At 47.9% G+C, this 15,926-nt stretch overlaps 1 long non-coding RNA gene across 1 annotated transcript in view, besides 6 other annotated features; it reads left to right on the top strand.

The window, feature by feature from the left end:
• The window catches only part of RNF32-DT (RNF32 divergent transcript), a 168,437-nt gene that overhangs the window by 17,732 nt on the left and 134,779 nt on the right, over positions 1-15,926 (top strand). The window lies entirely within an intron of this gene.
• Positions 1,964-2,653: an enhancer, noted in NCBI's record as "OCT4-NANOG-H3K27ac hESC enhancer chr7:156412845-156413534 (GRCh37/hg19 assembly coordinates)". NCBI's record gives its function as "activates a minimal SCP1, AML or CMV promoter by ChIP-STARR-seq in primed H9 embryonic stem cells {active_cell/tissue: H9 hESC(primed)}" and the evidence as "EXISTENCE:reporter gene assay evidence [ECO:0000049][PMID:30033119]".
• Positions 2,654-3,343: an enhancer, noted in NCBI's record as "H3K27ac hESC enhancer chr7:156412155-156412844 (GRCh37/hg19 assembly coordinates)". NCBI's record gives its function as "activates a minimal SCP1, AML or CMV promoter by ChIP-STARR-seq in primed H9 embryonic stem cells {active_cell/tissue: H9 hESC(primed)}" and the evidence as "EXISTENCE:reporter gene assay evidence [ECO:0000049][PMID:30033119]".
• Positions 2,983-3,183: a silencer, noted in NCBI's record as "peak6867 fragment used in MPRA reporter construct". NCBI's record gives its function as "represses an SCP1 promoter by STARR-seq MPRAs in K562 erythroleukemia cells {active_cell/tissue: K562}" and the evidence as "EXISTENCE:reporter gene assay evidence [ECO:0000049][PMID:32103011]".
• Positions 9,464-9,583: an enhancer, noted in NCBI's record as "active region_26908". NCBI's record gives its function as "activates an Ori minimal core promoter by ATAC-STARR-seq in GM12878 lymphoblastoid cells {active_cell/tissue: GM12878}" and the evidence as "EXISTENCE:reporter gene assay evidence [ECO:0000049][PMID:35858748]".
• Positions 9,694-9,863: an enhancer, noted in NCBI's record as "active region_26907". NCBI's record gives its function as "activates an Ori minimal core promoter by ATAC-STARR-seq in GM12878 lymphoblastoid cells {active_cell/tissue: GM12878}" and the evidence as "EXISTENCE:reporter gene assay evidence [ECO:0000049][PMID:35858748]".
• Positions 14,708-15,219: an enhancer, noted in NCBI's record as "H3K27ac-H3K4me1 hESC enhancer chr7:156400279-156400790 (GRCh37/hg19 assembly coordinates)". NCBI's record gives its function as "activates a minimal SCP1, AML or CMV promoter by ChIP-STARR-seq in naive H9 embryonic stem cells {active_cell/tissue: H9 hESC(naive)}" and the evidence as "EXISTENCE:reporter gene assay evidence [ECO:0000049][PMID:30033119]".

Genomic DNA, 15,926 nt, shown 5'->3' with positions numbered 1-15,926 from the left:
TTTTTTGGGTAATTTGTTGTTAGTGTATAGAAATGCTCCTGATTTTTGTATATTTATTTCATTTCATGTGTGTTTACTGAATTTGCGTATTAGTTCTAACAGTTTTTTGATGGAATTTTAGGGTTTTCTTTTTCGTTTTTGTTTTGTTTTGTTTTTTGAGACAGAGACTCACTCTGTCGCCCAGGCTGGAGTGCAGTGGTGCGATCTTGGCTCACTGCAATCTCTGCCTTCTGGGTTCAAGCGATTCTCCTGCCTCAGCTTCTCGAGTAGCTGGGATTACAGGCACCGCCACCATGCCCAGCTAATTTTTTGTATTTTTAGTAGATATGGGGTTTCCCCATCTTGCCCAGGCTGGTTTCAAACTCCCAAGCTCAGGCAACCTGCCCGCCTCAGCCTCCCAAATTGCTGGGATTACAGGCATGAGCCACCGTGCCCTGCCAGGATTTTCAATATATAAGATCATGTTGTCTGCAAACAGGGACAATTTAACTTATTTTTTTTAAGCATCCCCACAATTTGGATGCTTTCCATTTCTTTCTCTTGTCTAGTTGCTTTGGTTTGGACTTCCAGTACTATGTTGAATAAAAGTAGTGAGCCTGCCCATGCTTGTTTGGTTTCTGAGGAAAAGCCTTCAATTTTTTTTTACCATGAGTACAGGCATACCTCATCTTGTCGCACTTCACTTTATTGCACTTTGCAGATATTGCATTTTTTTACAAATTGGAGGTTTGTGGCATCGAGCAAATCTACTGGTGCCATTTTTTTCCCACAGCCTGTGCTTGCTTTCTCAGTGTTTTTAGCAATAAAGTATTTTTAAGTTAAGGTATGTACATTTTTTAGACATAATGCTGTTGCATACTTAATATACTATAGTATAAACATAACTCTTGTAGGCACTGGGAAGCAAAAAAATTCATGTGACTCTATTGCAAAATTAGCTTTATTGCAGTGATCTGGAACTGAATACACAATATCTCTAAGGTATGCCTTTATGATGTTAGTTGTGGATTAGTCATCTATGGCTTTTATTGTGTTGAGGTACACTTCTTCTGTACCTAATTTGTCAAGAGTTTTTATCATGAAAGAATATTGAATTTTGTTAAATGCTTTTTCTGCATCTATTGAGATGATCATATGGTTTTTATCCTTCATTCTCTTAATATGGTGAATCACACTTATAGATTTGTGTACGTTGAACCATTCTTGCATCCCTGGGATAAAGACAAATAAAATCAGAAACGAAAGAGGAGACATTACAACAGATACCACAGAAATACAAAGGATCATAAGAGACTACTGTGAAGAATTAAATGCCAACAAATTGGACAACCTAGAAGAAATGGATACGTTACTAGACACGTACAGCCTACTAAGACTGAATCACGAAGAACCAGAACATCTGAATAGATCAATAATGAGAAAGGAGATTTGAATCAGTAATGAAACATCTCTCATCAAAGAAAAGCCCAAGACCTGATGGCTTCACTGCTGAATCTTACCGAACAATTGTAGAACTAATACCCATCCTTCTCAAACCCTTCCTAAAACATTGAAGAAGAGAGAATACTTTCAAACTCATTTCACAAGGCTAGTTTACCCTGATACTAAGTCAGACAAGGACACTACAAGAAAAGAAAATTACAGACCAATATCCCTGATGATCATAGATGCAAAAATCCTCAACAGAATACTAGCAAACCAAATTCAACAGCACATTAAAAGAATTATTCACCATGATCAAGTGGGATTTTCCTACAGATAGAAAGTAAAAAGTAGTGAGTTTAATTTTTAGATAATTTATTTTGTTTCTAAAGGATCTTTCTAAAATATAGAAAAAAATGAAAAGACAGGCATTGATATTCTGATTTTATTATGAAAATTTTCTAATGAAACATTTATAAGAATATTGCTATTCAAATATCCCTTCCCACTTCCCACTGGCAACTGTGCCATCGGTATCTTTGTCAACTTGTTTCTCACCAGTGCAGGGCATCATGGACACTTAAGGATACAAGGTAAAAAGATTGCAAAGAAAAAACTGCAAATTCCATGAAAGGTTCAGGATTTAATGGAATTGACGGAAATGACGTGGCAGGCTCTTAGGTAAAGCTGTTACTGATTAAAGATCTGGCGGAAATAGACCTGATAATTTTAGAAGAGAAAATGACAAGACTGATGGCCAGGAGCTTCAGAAGAGAAAAGACTTGCATACTGAAGGATTAAGGAAGGCTTCAGGAATGCATTGAAGAGCCTCTTGATCATCTGCAACACAATGGAAGTCAAAGTTGAATGAATACCACAATGCAGTTTTTCAGTCTGGCACATATTAACCATGCTTATGCCCTGTGACCCATCCATTTGGCTCCTATGTCTGTTGTAGCTTGTAGTATTGTCAGAGGCGTGTGAACCAGAGCAACTCCATCTTAAACAGGAGCTGGGTAAAACGAGGCTGAAACCTACTGGGCTGCATTCCCAGACAGTTAAGGCATTCTAAGTCACAGGATGAGATAGGAGGTCAGCACAAAATACGGGTCATAAAGACCTTGCTGATAAAACAGGTTGCAGTGAAGGAGCCGGCCAAAACCCACCAAAACCAAAATGGCCACGAGAGTGGCCTCTGGTCGTCCTCACTGCTAGGTTCCCACCAGCGCCATGACAATTTACAAATGCCATGGCAACGTCAGGAAGTTACCCTATATGGTTTAAAAAGGGAGGCATGAATAATCCACCCCTTGTTTAGCATGTCATCAAGAAATAACCATAAAAATGGGCAACTCGCAGCCCTCAGGGCTGCTCTGTCTATGGAGTAGCCATTCTTCATTCCTTTACTTTCTTAATAAACTTGCTTTCACTTTGCACTGTGGACTCACCCTGAATTCTTTCTTGCGCAAGATCCAAGAACCCTCTCTTGGGGTCCAGATCGGGACCACTTTCCTGTAACAGTAATGGCCCCAGTTCTCTACCCGCTTTTGGTTGTGGAGGCAAGGACCAGCCAAAGGAGAACAAACAGGCTGTTTATTTACAGCTTGTGATAACAAGGAATTCAGCTCCACCACCTGCATTCAGCAGGGGCTCAGAGGTGGAGAGCAGGAAAGCTGTAGAGTGAAGAAAGGAAAACTTCTAGGGTGTCCTGATTGGAGGTTGCCAGTGTGGGGGTGGCTCATGCAAAGTGAGCATCGCATGCCAGTGGTTTGGCGAACATATTTGGCTTTCTCTAGTTAGTCCTAATTTGGAAGCAGGGGCAAAATATACAGAAACTGGGTGTCGTGGACCTGGAAGGAAACTGAGGCACAGCTTAAGCCACAAAGAATTTTTCTGAGCCACATTTGAGTGACTGTAGCCCAGGAAATGCTTCCCAGTTACCTTGGGAAGTGCTTCAGAGGACAAGGGAGGATTCCAAGCTTTTAAAGAAAAAAGGATGAATCAGGAGAGGGGGCAATTGCAAAAGTCGTTTTTCAACTCTTACAATGGGTTTGATTGCAGTCAAAGCAGCCCTGGAGCTGAGGGTTGGGTGTAACTGTAAGAAGCGCCCTTGGAGAGGGAGAGGGCCACCACAACAGATGCCTTGGCTCACCCCCGCTCAGCCAGGGGGTTGTAGTCTGGGATTGAACATTCTCCACTTAAGCCGCCAGAGGCTCAAGCCCAAGTGGCCTCCCAGCTCCAGCCTAGGCCCCTTGACTAACATGTCGCAGGCTTCCCTGGTCAGGCTGTTCACCAGGTCCCAGGGTTCCCGGCCAGTCGGTCCAGAGAGCCTGGCCTTCCTTCCCCAGCTGCTGCTGCGGAGGCCGTGGTAAGCGCTATGCTGTCACACTTGGCCTGGCCTCTGGCTCTCATCCGTTTGTGTGCTGTCTCTTGATGCTTCCAGGCTTGTGTTATTAGGGAGTGTTTCAGTAACCCTGTACTCCAACCCTGCTCACCCCCAGACTCTGGTTTCAGATATTCAGCTTCACTGGATTTACGAGTGGGCCTGCAGGCTGGCGGTCCTGGCCGGGCTGAGCAGAAGCTTGTTTTGAGCTTGTTTTGGTCTCACTGATGACTTACCGTATGGACAGGCAATCTGCTGAAGAAGAAACCCAAAGCAGCTAACGTTCAAACGGAGCCGCAGGCTGCTGGCTAACCTGGCCTGGGCCGGGGCAACTCAGCCGTGGTGCCCCAAAGCTCTTCATCCTCCAGCTACCCAGCTCAGCTGTGTTTCTCCATGAGAAAGGACGGGAAGCCTGTGTGCACGCCCGCTGTGGGCCTTGGCCGGCGTGTTTGCTAACATGCCAGCCGTCGAAGCAGGACACATGGCTGAGCCCAGGTCTCCAGGGGGAGGGACCGCACAGCTGCCCGGCAGAGTGCACACAGGGGTCTCCACCGCACTCTACCCAGTGACTTTGTGATTTTCCGGGTGTCGCCACATGATTTGCTTTGTTCAGGAAAGTGAAAATGGTTGGATATCAAGAGAAAACTGCTTCTTGGATGGTTTGACAATTGCCATGTATGAAACACAGCATTACTACTTTTATTTATTTATTTATTTATTTATTTATTTATTTATTTATTTATTTATAAGAGACAGGGTCTTGCTCTGTCCCCCAGGCTGGAGTGCAGTGGCACCATCATAGCTCACTTCAGGCTCAATCTCCTGGCCTCCAGCCATCCTCCCACCTCAGCCTCCTGAGTAGCTGGGACTACAGGCACAAGTCACCATGCCCAGCTAATTTTATTTTATTTTATTTTTTGGTAGAGGCGGAGGTCTCACTATGCTGCTGGAGCTGGTCGTGAACTCTTGGCCTCAAGTGATCCTCCCACCTCAGCCTTCCAAGTCGCTGGGATGACAGGTGTGAACCACTGCATTTGGCCTGTTACTGCTTTTTAAACGAGATCTTAGTCCATGAGTCCAGAATTTATGAATTCATAGATAGAATATTTAAAACGAGGCCACTGGACTGCTTTTCTGCAGTTCACATATCTGTTTTATTTTCACAGTGCAGAGATAATTTGGAAGTAAATGTTTTTGTGGAAATTTTAAGTGTCATGGGTGGCTCTTCCATTCGTATAGTATTTAAGGATTTATTTTCAACATCCACAGGAAAACATTTATTCCTTTAATTAGGACTGGACTCAGTTTCCCAGTTAGGAGCCATTAAGTAGTAACAGTCTTGCTGGTGGGTTCCATTTCCCCCATATTTAAAGCCTGTGTAGTAACTGTCACTCTTTATTACTCTTAAAATGAATCATAAAGGAATGGAGTTTAGACTGTATTTAAGTTCAGCAGGTGTGCGCTTCTAGACTCCCGTGTGCGCTGCGTGCACAGAAACGGGTGCAGCCCAGCCTGGGGGAGACACCACAGCTGTGCCCGTCCTGCCACGACTGCCCTGAGATGCGCCCTTGCCTGGAGACCATCAAATCATCCAAGAAGCAGTTTTCTCTTGATATCCACTAAGACAAATGTTCTGCCCAAAACCTTTACCTCGTGTACACTTTATTAATGGAAAAAGTAGTTTTATGCAAGTAGAAATACTAAAAGAAACAGAAATAAACGGATAATACACGCAAGTATCACTTCCCTCTGTTTCTGAAATTGTTCTGTTTTATTGTAACTCTCTCCGTGGTTTGGTCGTGGCATATTTTAATGAATGCTTTTATTCGCGTCTTTTCCTGCGTCAGTCCCGGCATGGCCAGTGGGGATCCGTGTTTATTCCTTGAACTAGGACTTACTATTCCGCGCCCTTTTATGAAAGCGCTGGGCCAGGAACACAGTTCCAGGTTCACCCGGCTGAGCGCGCTGCCCTTGCGGAGGCCGCGGGTTAGCGGGAGGGGGGCGCAGATGCGGGGTGCGGGGGTGACGCCCGGCTGGGGAGGGGGACACGGAAGCCAAGAAGACTCGCGGGAAAGGCGGGTGGAGAGGGCAGAGACCCGAACCCAGAGCGCTGCGCTGCAGGGAGGGGACGGGCCGCGGGCAGGAGCGGGGCGCGGGGCGCGGGAGGCGGCAGGGACCGGGCTGGAGCCCGGGCGCAGGGGCGCGGGGTCGGGGCGAGGAGGGGCGCGGGGCAGGAGGGCGCGGCGGGGGAGAGCGCGGGGGACGCGAGGTCTGGGGGCGCACGGGGTCGGGGAGAGCGCGGGGCGGAGCTCCTTGGAGAAAGTGGTTCCAGCGGGGAAAGGGGAGTTTTGGACTCTGCGTGTGACGGTGACTTTTCTGCAGGGTTTTTGCCCCCACCCGTCACCGCAGAGGCCTGCAGCTGTAGCGGAGCGGAGCAGGGCGGCCGGGGCCTTCCCTTCTGCCGCCGCCAACGTCCCGGGTGCTGGGCCCCGCGGCCAGCGCCAACGCAGGAAAGACCGGGGCGCCAACGCCGCTTTGCTGGTTCCCTCCTGGGTTCTGTGATGATACATTCAGCCCAGCGTTTTTGCTGACCCTAAACCGGCCCACTCCCAAATTGTGGTTCTGGAGGATCCCGGGTCGCGGGCGCTGACACGTGCGGGTGGAGCCCGCTGAGACTGTGGAGGGGTGACGGCTGGCCACAGTTGAACTTTCAGGTTCTGGCGGGACGTCTGAATCCAAACATATAGGGGTGTGTGTGTGTGTGTGTGTGTGTGTGTATATAAAGTGCATATGTGTGTGTGTGTATATATATAGTGCATGTGTGTGTGTGTGTGTGTGTATATATATATATATAAAGTGCATATATGTATATACTTTTTATAAGTGGAAAACACAGTTCTCCTGGGATCCAAAATATTGTTTTCCTGTTTTCTTAACTGTTTGTCCTCACCACGCGGCCCAGTACCCACCCGGAGTGGGCAGCCGAAGGATGTTGTGGAATTCATAATATCCGGTGGTAGAAGTACATTAAACTACTTTGTAACAGGTGAAATAACAGGAGGGTTTCTCCCGGATTCAGGAAGGGTTCTGAAAGAAAAGGTGAAGGCATCCGTTTTTAAGTGTTAGAGTAACTCATTCATTGGAAGGAACTGTTCCCATACAGTTTGGGTTTTACAAGTAAAAGGACAGGTGCAGAGCTCGGCTCTGTCACTGGGTGCGTATGGTCTTGGGCAACTTATTGCACTTATTTTGAGCTTCAGTCCCTCATTTGGAAAATGAGAGTGATAATATCCGCCTCGGGGGATTGTGGAGGGATTAAATTAGGTAACCTGTGAGACCCTTTGCCAGGGCCTAGTGGGCAGCAGTGCTCAGGAAACGCAGTGTCCTTTGTTCTTTGGCCCAGACTATGGCCGATGAGACGTACCACCTGGGTCTAATGAGTGATTATGTGGCAACTTTATTCAATGCCATTCCTTATTAATGGGCACCTTGTGGCAAAAGTTAACATGGGAAAGAAATAGGCTGTTGTAGAATTGTTAAATAATATTGAAACCTTCTTTTGATACAGTCTGGTTGGGTACAGATATACCACAGAAAAATTGTTTTTAAACTAAGAAAATAGAGACAAATGAACATTTTTTATTTGAATATAGACCATTCCATTTAAGTTTTGCAGAGTTTAAATTTAGCAAGTTGAAACCACAGGTTTTTGAACAATGGCAATTTCAGAACTTCTGGTATGTGAGTTTTGTGTCTTTTCCTCATTATTTAAAGCTCCTCATTCTTTGAGAGTGTAGTAAAGTTCTATCATTTCAGACATCAGAATTAGCATTGAAAACATGGGATTCTTTATCTGGATTGATGAAAGTAATTTATTGTTTGCTGTGTCAAACACAGCATGCTATTTGTCACATTGTGGTTTGTGTATCTTTCTAGAAGCTTTCAACTTTGATCTGAGGCAAAGTACACTCAGTAGCACAGATGACAGAGCTAAAAAAAAAAAAAAGCCAGTGATGTGCATTGTCACTCAGAGACTCTAAATCAACAAGCATGGAGACGCGGAGTAAAAAGCCACCTGACTTTAAAGAGGCTTGTACGTTCTTGTGAGAGAGCAGACCTCTGCCTTTCTCGGGGGAGACAAAGGTGTAGAGCGATTTATGAGTTAAAGATCGGGTTCACTGTGTGCAACCCAAAGGCACCTCCTCAAGGCCAGAGCCTGGTCCTGGCCTGCAGCCTTAGGTAAACACTCGCATTTAAAAGACCGCGCAGAGCCGGGACTCCGTGCACATAAAGGCGGCTTTCTTCAACTGTCATCAGAGTGGATTTTAGAACGTGCTTTTAATACTTACAAGGTTGATGTTTGCCTTTTAAAAAATGCTATTTGAGATCGTTTCTTATTTAACTTTCACCTTGGCGTGCCTTTTACCTGATTCGTGGCAGCGTTAAGGAAACTCACCTTGTTGTGAGATCAGACAAAGATTTAGAGCAGTGTCGCACAGTGTGACCTTTTAGAAGTCAAGGCTCCACCAAATCCTTGTTTAAACACCGTAAAAACTGGATGAAAAGCAACAACATATAATCTTAATCTGAACATTTGGTCTCAGATTCTTTTTATTGCGCTTGGGTTGATTATTCTGTGAGATAAATTAATCGTGTCCCAGGATAGCTGTGTACTTCCATTTCCTTTCTGATTTTTAACAGACAATGGCCCAGATCAATAAAACGGCAAAATAAAGAGGTTTGGAATGAGGAACATTGTTGCATACCTAAGTCTGTACTCTTCTAGAGAATGATTCTCAAAAGAAATTCAGCTATGCTGTTAAATCTGCATTTGCAGAGTTAATTATTAGTAGGAATTTTAAACTTGTATATTAAAATGATCATTAATAGCTGCAGAATAATGCATGGTCCAGATGCAACAATTTATTCAAGCATTCCTTTAGTTATTGGCATTCTCTGTTTTGTGTTTTGTAGTAAGAATATTCCTGTCCATTTATATTTATGTACCTGGTGTATTTTAATTCAAGTATATTGAGCTAAAAAACACATACCCCTTTAAAATTTTACAATTCTATGAATTTTAGCAAGTGCAGACTGTCTTGTAACCACCATGGAAATCACAATGAAAAACATACCCATCATCACGAGTTTCCTGGTGCCCATGTGCAGCCAGCACCTCCCATCACGCCCAGGTGGGACTGGCTAGTTGTAGGAAAACAAGCTCAGGGTTCCCACGGATTCTACCTTACAGTGAGTGGTATGATTATTCCATTATATATTACAATGTAATAATAATGGAAATAAAGTGCACAAATGTGATGTGCTCAAATCAACCCAAAACCATCCCCATCCTAGGTCCATGGAAAAATTGTATTCCACGAAACTGGTCTCTGGTGCCAGAAAGACTGGGATCTGTTCTAAGCCTTCTCCGATGAAGTTGCCCTTTGGTAAGCTTTCCCGCGTAACACAAATTTATCCATACTCCGTGTCCACCGAAGAAGTCTATCCACATAGTTCCTGCAGAGACTGCCCTGTTATCAGTTTTCCAGCTGTATTCCTTCCAAGTCCTGGGCCATCCATTCATACTGATGGCTCCTGCTGTCTTGGGCCATATTCTCTTTGGGGCAAAATGAACAGCCAGGTGCTTTTCTGGGAGTTCTGCCCACTGCAAATACTTCCCTCAACACTGTCCTTCAGAGCCGTCTCTCCATTTCTGGGCAGATGTAGCATGTATTGTGCACAATCATCTGTAAATGAGGCCTGAACCTTTGATTTCTCAGTCAGCGGGTGGAGGGTGCTCGTCACCGGGCTGCAGGCCTGCTTGAGAGAGGATGTGACTGGCAGAGTGGCGCCACGGGGATCTGAGCCACGCGCCCATGTGGCTTGTGCTTTAGAATCATCTTGGGTGGAGCCAATATTCACCACTTCAACTCAAGGACAGAAAGCTGCTGTGGCTTTGTGGTCGGAAAACACCCAGCTCATGGTGAAGCGTAAGAGAGGAGGAGAAATGGGGCAAACTCTCTCTGCCTCCCTGCAAAAAAGAAATCTGAAGTTTTAAAGAATATCTCCAAATCAGATATAGGAGGATTCTATTGATAAATTAAAATGAACAGACACTCTCTCAAGTAAGCAATAAGCTGTGTTTCTTGTCGTATAGATCTTACCTCAGGAATTTTAAAGCTTATCTATTGCTTGCATCCAAGGTTCTCTTTACCTTTACCAGGTAAAGGTGTCTTTGTTTGTGCTGCTACAATAGCATACCTGAGACTGGGTACTTTACAAAGAATGGAAATTAATTTGCCCACAGTTCTGGAGGCTGGAAGTCCAAGGTCAAGGTGCTGGCATCTGGTGTGGGCCTTCTTGCTGTGTTCTCAGTGATTCTGATGCAGCTAAAGCTGGAGGACCACTGGCAGAAGGCAAGAGAGAGCCGGCTCCCTCCAGCAAGCCCCTTTACAAGGGCATTTAGTCTCATGGCCTAATCGCCTCTTAAAGACCCACTTCTTAATACCATCCCATTGGCAACACCTGGATTTTGGAAGGAGCATGTTCAAACCACAGCATGGTTTTCTATGTGATTTTGGTTGTATACAGCATGGCTGTATCATGCTAGGCAGAAATATGACCTTGTTATTGTCTTTATTTGGAGATTAAATCGGGTTTAAGGAGATGTGTATGGGTACCAAAGTGACAAGGGGGGAAGCTTGGGATGGTGGATTTTGGATGTCAAGGTGACAGGGTATTAAGGGATGCCCAAATAGCTGGCAAAGCACCATTTATTCTTATGCTTCAGTGGGCATTGGGCATGGCCCTCTTCTACTGTAAGGGAAATCCAGTTGGCCTGGTGTTTGATTAGAATGATTGTGCTGCCCCAGGAGTGTCTGTGAGGGAGTTTCCGGAGGAGTTTGGTGTGTCAGTCAGTGGACTGAGTGGGGAAGAACTGCCCTCAATGTGGATGGCATCCTCCAATTGGCTGGGGGGTCCTGGATGGAGCACAAATGCAGAGGAAGGGTGGATTCTGGCCCCTTCTCCCAGAGCCAGGATGCCCTTTGTCTCCTGCCATTGGACACTGGAACTCCAGGCTTTATGGCATTTGGACTCAGGGACTCACACCAGCCCCCTGTGCATGACCCTCTCTGGTACTGGGGCCTTCTGCCTCACACTGAGAGTTATAGCACCGGCTTCCCTGGTTCTGAGGCCTTCGGATGTGGTCTAAGCCGCGCTGCCAGCTTCCTGGGGTCTCCAGCATGCAGACGGCCTGCTGTGGGCCTCCCCAGCTTCCATAATCAAGTGAGCCAATTTCCTGATGAATCCCTTTCCTCCAGCTCCTATGAACCACGTCGGTTCTGTCTTGAGAAGCCTGGCTGAAACGCTAGGCGTTGCAACACTAAAGATGGTCTCTATTTCCTTCTTTAAATCACACACACAAAGTTCAGTGACAGGCTGTGTGTAAAAGGCCAGATTCCACAGGCATTCCCACACAACAGGCTTTAGTGACTCCTAGGGCATTCGCTCAGCAAAAGTTAACACTGGGCACTTACTCTGTCCCATTCCCTGTGCTGGGCAGTGGGGGACAGCAGCAGGCAGGAAACTGAGGTCCCTGCTCTGTGGAGCTTATAATTTAGTGTAAGGCGGGGCTAAGACTCACCCCAAGAAATCAGTGAGCAGACCACAGTGCACAGGCCCCACTCCAGGCCATTAGATAGCTCAGCTGACTCGGGAGGAACAGCATCTCCAGGGGGCTTTCTGACTCTGTCTTGGTCAACAGTTAATCCATGACTGAGGCAGAGCATTAAAGAATGTCCAGTACGTCTGGGAATGACACAAAGCTCGGAGAAACAGCAAATGCCTCATCTATCACTCATGATTGAATAGAGAAGTTGCCGGGAACTGATGTTTAACCTTGGGCTGTACATTGGAATCACCTGGGAGCTTGAAAAGCGTCCCAGTGCAGTCCGATGCTTTGGGGAGCAGGCCCTGGCTGGTGCTTCTCAGCAGTGTCTTCATCTTCCGTCTCCACTGGGCTCTGGCCACGCTTTCTCCACGGCAGTCCTCAGACTTCGTTCTCACAGCAGCAGCAGCAACTGGGAACTTGTTAGACATTCAGATTCTCGGGCCCCACTCCAGACTCACTGAATCAGAAACTCTGGGAAGGAGAGCCAGAAATCCATGCTTTAATGAACTCAGGTGACTCTGATGCAGCTAAAAGCTGGAGAGCCACGTTCCAGGAATACCCTTTCCCCAGGTAGTTCTCATCTTGCAAGACTTGGCTCACACGCGCTCCCTTGCAAGACATCCCAGCACCTGTAACTCCCTGTCCACACAGGCAAGTCGTCCTAACACGTCAGATAGGAAATCGTGATGGTGGCTTTGTGCCTGTGTCTCTGCTAGACCTTGAATTTCCTAAGGGAAGGGATTTTTTTTCCTATTCATCTCTTCATACTCTGGAGCCAAAAGTAGTACCTGAAACCTATTGGGAACTTCAAAGTAGTCTTTCTCTTCTTAGCCAGCGACAAAAGAAGAAAGTTCTGGCTGCCGTGCTGGGCCTCTGACCAGCTGCCCGTTCTTGCTCCAGGGCCTCCTGCCCTCTGGCTCCTGCTTGCTGCCGGCTCCTCCACTTTTCTTCCTGAATTCGGAAACAGAAGTGGGGCTAAGTAGCTCCCCAGCAAGGCGCACACCAGGTGCTCGGGAGGCACAGATGCAGCTCCTGACTCAATCTCTAAGCACGGGGCCCGTTCAAGTTCAGCACCCCAGCTTCTAATGCAGCGAAGATTTAAGGAGGAATCTCAAGACGTAGCTGTGGAGTCTTAGGGCAAGGGAATAAATACTATTTATGTGTTTTTGTCTTTAATTTGTCTTCTGTAATCCATATGCCTCAAATCGGGATTAGGTTAGAATCTAGTTTTTGATGTTCTAAGTATAAGAATACTGAAAAATCGAGTCAGGTTTACTTTTCCTCCCATGCACTGGATGGATGCTGAGCTAGAACTTTCTCTTGGTGTGTGCTAGGACTCATCTCCACAACAGTTCACTTTATTTAACCCTATTGCTCCTATTAAAATGGTCGGTTTTACAAGGCAAACCTAATATTGGAAAGGATACTAGAAAGGCACACATATTTACTGAGCATTTACTACTCACCAGGCATTATTTTAGGTAATTTTGCATAAATCGTCATATTTAATCCTCATTCTACCTTTTAAAATGGGAAGCACGTTCTGTGTTAAGAAAAAAAAAGCCAAACAGCCCAGAGTTAGAGAGTCTAAGAGACTTGTTCAGAGAGGTAATAAGTGGTAGTGGTGGAATTGGTAAATATTTATTCAGAACTCACAGATAGTTTTGTGTTTAGCACTTGTTCCATACGCTAAGCTTGTAGGAAGTCCATGAAATAAAACTTATTTTAAATGTTCAATTCTGGTTTATTGTCACCGATAAGTCAGTCTGAAGCAATTTGAAATTGTTTCTGATTTTAAGGAATGACAATGATGTGACATGTGTTAAGTCCAACTTTGACATTTTGTGGGAAGAAATCCTAAAATTCTAAACACTAGATTTATGCCAAGAGTAATTACTTCCTAGTGTTCTGTTTATTTAGGAATTAACCAAAAACAGAATTTTCCAGATATACTATTTTCTTTAGTAGGAAAAGAATCACCAGCTAAAACCATTCTCAGAGCCATCTGACCCTGCTAAGATCATGTCATAAATGTTGGGCTTCACTGTAAGCACTTTGGTCCAGAGTTCAGTTTCAAACAATGGGCTGTGCAGAACTGGGCGTTCTGAAATTCTTGACAGCTTTCCTGTTTGCTCACTGGGGAGGGTAGATAAAGACTCGCTTAGGTGCCTCTTATCTCTAGAATTCTGTAGATGTTGTTGGGGGGCTGGGAGCCTGGGAGAGCTCCCCTGGCATGGACCAGGGCTTTTCCTACCTTCCAGTGTGCCTTAGTTGTAAGATATTAAAGAGGAAAAAACCCCAATAAGCAAGGACGTAGTGAGTGCTCGCCCTCCTGTAATACAGATAGGAGGAAAATATGTAACAGAATAAAAATCCCCTTGGGAACAATTAAGATGACTTGGCTCATCGCCCTTCCTTTGTAGAAGAGTAAATTGAGAAGAAAGTAAGTAAATTGGACAAGGTTGTAGATTATGATCAGCACGAAGTCGACTCATCTTCTGATCTAATAATGATTCCACAACACCTTCAAGGGGCATATTGTTTAAATTAAGAAGACTCGTGGCTGGGTGCGGTGGCTCACGCCTGTAATCCCAGCACTTTTGGAGGCCGAGGCGGGCGGATCACCTGAGGTCAGGAGTTCGGGACCAGCTTGGCTAACATGGTGAAACCCCCTCTCTACTAAAAATACAAAAATTAGCTGTGCGTGGTGGCGGGCACCTGTAATCCCAGCTACTAGGGAGGCTGAGGCAGGAGAATCGCTTGAACCGGAGAGTCGGAGGTTGCAGTGAGACGAGATCGCGCCATTGTACTCCAGCCTGGGTAACAAAGTGAGACTCCATCTCAAAAAAAAAAAAAAAAAGACTCACTTAACATCGACAAAACGAGGAATAACTAAGCATCTGTCCATTTGACAGGAAGTCAGAGGGGCGGATGGGTCCCAGGCAGGGGCTTGAGAAAGAGTCTCCTCGGGTGGACGTGTGGGCAGGAATGTCACCGTGTGTTCAGGGCCAGGAAGGAGCCTGGCTGGACGCTGCGGCCGCAGTGGGAGGAACGGCCTGGAGGGGAAGCGGGTGGGGGCGCCGCGGAGCCCACCGGGCTGCAGGGGCTGGGCCTGGTGTCCTCCTATCCTCAGAAGATCGCACGCAGGTTTAGGAGGCATCCGCTTTCTACCCCTCGGTCTCTATATTTCCACAATGATTTGTAAATACTTCTTTTGCCAGTGAACAGACCTTTCCGTTCCGGTTTTCTTTTCATTTTTAAACACATCTGCCTTTCCAGCAAGTCTGGGGCCTCTTGAGGCTGGAGCCCGTCTCCCGTCTGCAGCCCGGTGCGCGGGGGGTCGGGGCTCGCGTGGCCTCGCAGGGGGAGCGCGGGGTGCCCCTGTTGTTGGAGGGTGGGCCGAGGGTGGTCGTGGGGGAGCAAGCCAAGTAAAGGGGGAGGCGCCCGGCCGGATGCACGTCGGCGGAGCGGCGCTTGAGCTCGGATGCCCCGGGCCGCCGCCTCCTCTGCCTGGCTCCCGCTGTCCCGGGCCGCCCCACGCGCGTCCGCGGAGCCTCCCTCCTCGCCGCCGTCCCCAGTCGCCCCGCGCGAGGTTTTTCCAGGTCCCCCGCCTGGGCCGAGCCGCAGTTCCTGGGTCCCCCACCCCCAGCTTCTCCTCCGTGGCAGGTGCGGGGCGGACTTTTCTCCGCAAGGTGGTCCCGGGACTCCGCGCTGGGAGCTGAGTGGGTGGGGGCCACGCGTCCTCTCCCTGCCCGCCTCGTTCGGGGGCGGATCTGGGGGCCTCGGAGGTCACGGCCCAGATTGCCTTTTCGTGGGGTGAGACGGGAGACCCCGGGGCTGGGACAGGAGAGGCGCGGCCTCCCGGAGATTTCGCTGCGGGACTTCGCTCGGGCGCGGGTGGGCGCGGGGAGAAGCGGCCGCGAGGCCTCAGAGGCGCTGGGAAGGTGGAACCCACGGGACCTGCGGATGCCGCACCTGGGGCTGAGCGGACAGGAGGCTTCGAGGGGAGCCCTGGAAGGTGGGCCTGGAGCCAAGCTGCAGGGTACCGTGGGCTGGGTGATGAGGTGACAGGTGAGGGGAGTGGGGCAGTGCCCAGGTGTTGGGGGCTGGGCGGTCCCCTGCTGAGGGGGGGGGCTGGACGGTGCCAAGGTTAGTGGGGGGAGGTGCACAGATGTAGGGGGCCAGGGCGGTGCCCAGGTGAGGGGGGCTTGGATGGTGCCCAGGTGTGGGGTGCCGGGTGGTCCCTTGCTGAGGGGTGCCAGGGCAGTGCCCAGATGAAGGGGGGTGGGGTGGTGGCCAGGTGATGGGGGGTGGGGTGATGCCCAGGTGTGGGGTCAGGTGGTCCCCTGGTGAAGGGGACAGGACAGTGCCCAGGTGCCAGCAGTGGAGTGGTGCCCAGGTGTGGGAGGCCGGGTGGTCCCCTGGTGGGGGGGGCAGGGCGGTGCCCAG

This window comes from Homo sapiens, chromosome 7 (assembly GCF_000001405.40).
Source record: "Homo sapiens chromosome 7, GRCh38.p14 Primary Assembly".
In the NCBI taxonomy this organism is placed as follows: Eukaryota; Metazoa; Chordata; class Mammalia; order Primates; family Hominidae; genus Homo; species Homo sapiens.
Note: the sequence above shows the minus strand (reverse complement) of the source record. Positions and strands in the feature narration are given on the sequence as shown.